This window comes from Homo sapiens, chromosome 12 (assembly GCF_000001405.40).
Source record: "Homo sapiens chromosome 12, GRCh38.p14 Primary Assembly".
Classification (NCBI taxonomy): Eukaryota; Metazoa; Chordata; class Mammalia; order Primates; family Hominidae; genus Homo; species Homo sapiens.
In genome coordinates this window covers 112516336-112521698 of record NC_000012.12, presented here as the reverse complement: position 1 = coordinate 112521698, position 5363 = coordinate 112516336, and the positions used below count along the sequence as shown (strand labels likewise).

General features: G+C 49.4%; 1 annotated feature.

Annotated features, from left to right (window-relative positions):
- Positions 4319-4819: an enhancer, noted in NCBI's record as "H3K4me1 hESC enhancer chr12:112954684-112955184 (GRCh37/hg19 assembly coordinates)". NCBI's record gives its function as "activates a minimal SCP1, AML or CMV promoter by ChIP-STARR-seq in naive H9 embryonic stem cells {active_cell/tissue: H9 hESC(naive)}" and the evidence as "EXISTENCE:reporter gene assay evidence [ECO:0000049][PMID:30033119]".

Here is a 5363-nt window from a genome sequence, read left to right as displayed (position 1 = left end):
CCACTCCTTTCCACTGATGCATCAGACTTCAGTGTATGGAAAATAGCACAACTGACACCATAACCATTTTTCTTTAAAGGAACATTTGCAGGGGGTGGTACTTCTGTTGTGGGATACTACAAATAAACAATCATTCTCGCCAGTGCGGTGGCTGACGCCTGTAATCCCAGCACTCTGGGAGGCCAAGGCAGGTGGATCGCTTGAGCTCAGGAGTTCAAAACAAGCCTGGGCAACATAGCAAGACCCTCATCTCTACAAAAAATTCAAAAATTAGCCGAGCGTGGTGGTGTGTGCCTGTAGTTCCAGCTACTCAGGAGGCTGAGACAGGAGGATGGCTTGAGCCCAGGAGGCGGAGATTGCAGTAAGCTAAGATCCCACCACTGTACTCCAGCCTAAGCAACAGAGCGAGACCCTGCCTCAAAAACAGGCCATGCGTGGTGGCTCATGCCTATAATCTCAATACTTTGGGAGGCCAAGAAGGGCAGATCACCTGAGGTCAGGAGTTTGAGACCAGCCTGGACAACATGGTGAAACCCTGTCTCTACTAAAAATACAAAAATTAGCCAAACGTGGTGGCAGGTGCCTGTAATCCCAGCTACTTGGGAGGCTGAGGCACGAGAATCACTTGAACCCGGGAGGCAGAGGTTGCAGTGAGCTGAGATCGTGCCACTGCAGTCCAGCCTAGGCGACAGAGCTAATCTCAGTCTCAAAAAAAAAAAAAAAAAAAACCAACAATTGTTCCCATGATGTCTATTAGCTCATTTAATCCTCACAGTGGCATGGGCAGTACGGTACAATTGTCAGCCACATTCTTCAGTGAGGAAACTGAGGCTCTAGAAGCTTAAGTTACCAAAATCACACAGGCACGACTCCTAACCAGCTCTTGACTCTCAGCCTTCCCCCACTCTCAACTCTTTAAAAATCACCCTCTCCAAAATGGAAGCACTTCCCCCAATTATCCAAGGCAGAGGTGATAATCAATCTATCTCTCTTCCCAAGATTAAAAGCCATTAGCAAATAATAACATGTTTGCCTCTCCTGTGTGTGTTTGAATTAAGTTTTCATTCCATACCAGGGAGAAAATCTAACTGAGGACTTCCAATACTAATAATAGACTGCAATAAAAGTAAAAGGTTTTTGCTTAACAATTACCTCTTGGAAGAGCTATCTAAACCCTAATGCAATCTGTGAATATTGTGCACTGATTCTCCCTGCTATGCGTTACCAACTGGTAAATTCATACTGAGAGGTGACAGCATGCTGGCAGCCCTTAACAGCCCTCGCTCGCTCTAGGCGCCTCCTCTGCCTGGGCTCCCATTTTGGCGGCACTTGAGGAGCCCTTCAGCCCGCCACTGCACTGTGGGAGCCCCTTTCTGGGCTGGCCAAGGCCGGAGCCGGCTCCCTCAGCTTGCGGGGAGGTGTGGAGGGAGAGGCGCGGGCAGGAACCGGGGCTGTGCGCGGTGCTTGCGGGCCAGCGCGAGTTCCTGGTGGGCGTGGGCTCAGCGGACCCCACACTTGGAGCGGCAGGCCGGCCCCACCGGCCCCGGGCAGTGAGGGGCTTAGCACCTGGGCCAGCAGCTGCTGTGCTCAATTTCTCGCAGGGCCTTAGCTGCCTTCCCGTGGAGCAGGGCTTGGGACCTGCAGCCCGCCATGCCTGAGCCTCCCCCCACCTCCATAGGCTCCTGTGCGGCCAGAGCCTCGCCTACGAGCACCGCCCTCTGCTCCAGGGTGCCCAGTCCCATCGACCACCCAAGGGCTGAGGAGTGCAGTCGCACTGCATGGGACTGGCAGGCAGCTCCACCTGCAGCCCTGGTGCAGGATCTACTGGGTGAAGCCAGCTGGGCTCCTGAGTCTGGTGGGGACGTGGAGAACCTTTGTGTCTAACTCAGGGATTATAAATACACCAACTGGCACTCTGTATCTAGCTCAAGGTTTGTAAACACACCAATCAGCACCCTGTGTCTAGCTCTGGGTTTGTGAATGCACCAATCGACACTCTGTATCTAGCTACTCTGGTGGGGACTTGGAGAACCTTTGTGTCCACACTCTGTATCTAGCTAATCTGGGGGGGACTTGGAGAACCTTTGTGTCTAGCTCAGGGATTGTAAACGCACCAATCAGTGCCCTGGCAAAACAGACCACTCCGCTCTACCAATCAGCAGGATGTGGGTGGGGCCAGATAAGAGAATAAAAGCAGGCTGCCCGAGCCAGCAGTGGCAACCCACTGGGGTCCTCTTCCACACTGTGGAAGCTTTGTTCTTTTGCTCTTTGCAATAAATCTTGCTACTGCTCACTCTTTGGGTCCACACTGCCTTTATGAGCTGAAACACTCACCGCGAAGGTCTGCAGCTTCACTTCTGAAGCCAGCGAGACCACGAGCCCACCAGCCCACCGGGAGGAAGGAACAACTCCAGACGCGCGGCCTTAAGAGCTGTAACATTCACCGTGAAAGTCTGCAGCTTCACTCCTGAGCCAGTGAGACCACGAACCCACCAGAAGGAAGAAACTGAACACATCCGAACGTCAGAAGGAACAAACTCCGGACACGCCGCCTTTAAGAACTGTAACACTCATCGCGAGGGTCCGCAGCTTCATTCTTGAAGTCAGTGAGAACAAGAACCCACCAATTCCGGACACAATACGACCCCAGCAACAGGCTATGTCAAAAGCCTGAAAGACATTCCCTAGCCCCATAGGAAAAACACAGCTGTTTACTGAGCACCCACTATGTGCCAGGCCATCCATTAATATTAAACTTCTCAACAACCCTTCCCAACAAAGTAGGAAAAGTAGCTCCATTTTTCTAAAGAGGATGGGCAGACCGAAGGCCTTTACTGACAAGCCCAAGGTCGCACAGCTAGTAAATGGCAAAACCAGGAAAGTAACCCAAGCCTGTAAAGTTCCAAAACTCCGATTTTCCTCCTAAATCAACATGCCTAGAACAGAATGCTCCATCTGCACCTGCAGCCTAAAACGCAGAGGTATTTATCGTCCTCAACCAAAACGCCTGTTTTAACTTACCCTAAGCAGAAACCTGATGGTTGATTGTTAACTCTAAAGACAGGAATTAGATGGTCCTAAATAAGAGCTTTAATGCATTTTCGAATGTGGAAAAGTTATTCAACACAGTAAATCAATGCACAATAGGACCTCGCTAGAGAGTCTTTTGTGTAGCTGAGGCACTGGAGTTTTTTCCGTCTATCACTCAAACCATTGTTAGACATTTTCTAAAGCCTTCATACAAAGCAACACGGGAGAATCAACACTTTAGAAAGAAAGAAATTAATTTTCCTATGAGAAAAAAAAAATAATGGTCCTGAGAAAGCAACAATCAAACATGGATGAATGAAGATGAAAAAAACAACTACTTTTTACAAGTCTAGAAATCCGTCAAGACCCAGACATCCGTCACCTCCTGAACAGATTTTAATTTTAGAGTTTGCTTCCTTTACATTTTTTTTTTCTCTTCTCTTCCTATGGTTAGATGGATGTAACATATGCTTAGGATTTCACAAATTCAGTTTTGGTAGGTGTAATGTCTAAGAATATCTGAAGCTATTTTCAAGACATTTTGTGATAATGCTTGTCTTGTTCTTTGAAATCTAGTCTTTGGATTTCTTCTTACTCCATAGCCTAGACTTCGTGGCTTCTCTTGTGATATCAAATGATTCTCAAGAGATGAGCTGACCCAAGCATGGGCATAATTTCCAACAGCCTTTATCTCCACGTGGAAATCCTCCAGTGCAGCGGCGCATGGTGGCTCATATCTGTAATCCCAGCACTTTGGGAGACCAAAGTGGGAGGATCGCTTGAGTCCATGAGTTCAAGACCAATGTGGGCAACATAGTGAAATCATGTCTCTATTTAAAAAAAAATTTTTTTTTTTAATTAGCTGGATGTGGTGATGTGCACCTGTGGTCCCAGCTACTTGGGAGGCTGAGGCAGGGGGATAGCCTGAGCCAGGAGTTCGAGGCTGTAGTGAGCTATGATTACACTGCTGCACTCCAGTCTGGGAGACAGAGCAAGGTCCCGTCTCTAAGAATAAATCAATAGTCCTCCAGTGCAGCTTGTCTCAAACTGCAAATGCACCTATGAATCCCCTAGAGATCTCGTGGATAAAATGCAGATTCTGATCCAGTGGGGCTTGGGTGGGATCCGAGACTCTGCATTTCCAACAGTTACAGACCAGGCTGAGGCTGCTGATGCACAGGCCACACCTTAAGTGTTACTCTCCATTTGCCCCCCATCTCCACCCCAGATCCATTATTTGCCCTGCTCTGGGCCGGGGACGCTAAGCCCTGCAGGCTGCAGCACCTGCACAGCTTGGCCACCTGGCCTGCAGATAGGCTGGAACAATGAGAGGCAGCCCTGGAGATCAAAGGGAGGCAGGAGAGAGAGTTCAGTGCATTTGGCCCTTCCTCACTCAGCCCTTCTGGGGCTGCAGCTCCAGCAGGGGAGTCCTTCTCCATGGCTCCAGGTCTTTCCAGATTCCAGGAATACTGTTCCTGTTCTTCCATCCCTGTATCCTTTTGTGTGTGTGTGTGTGTGTGTGTGTGTGTGTGTGTGTGTGTGTGTGTGAAATGTAGTCTCGCTCTATCGTCCAGGTTGGAGTGCAGTAGCGTGTGTGTGTGTGTGTGTGTGTGTGTGTGTGTGTGTGTGTGAAATGTAGTCTCGCTCTATCGTCCAGGTTGGAGTGCAGTAGCGCTATCTCAGCTCACTACAACCTCCACCTCCTGGGTTCAAGCTATTCTCCTGCCTCAGCCTCCCAAGTAGCTAGGATTACAGGCACGTGCCACCACGCCTGGCTAATTTCTGTATTTTTAGTAGAGGTGGGGTTACACCATGTTGGTCAAGGTGATCTGCCCGCCTCGGCCTCCCAAAGTGCTGGGATTACAGGCATGAGCCACCATGCCTGGCCTACCATCCTTATATCCTTAAGACCCAAGGGTACTGTGATAAGCAGAATGGGCCCCCAAAGATGTCCTCATCCTCATCCCTGGAACCTGTGAATATGTTACTTTACATGGCAAAAGGGACTTTGCAGATAGTATTAGGTCAAGGATCTTGAGGTGGGAAGATTATTCTGGATTATCTGGTGGATCGGATTTCATCATCAGGGTGTTAATAAGTGGGAGAAGAGGCAGGAATGTCCAAAATGAGAAATGTAATGTGAGAAAGGCTTGACCGGCCATCGCCGGCTTTGAAGATGGACAGAGGCGTCACAAGCTAAGGAATGTGGGCAGCCTCGAAAAGCTGGAAAAGGCAAGAGAGCAGATTCTCCCCTAGAGCCCCCAGAAGGAAAGCATCCCTGCTAATGTAGGTGTAAGGAGCTCCCTCCTGATGTAGGTCCCTGGTGTTTCACC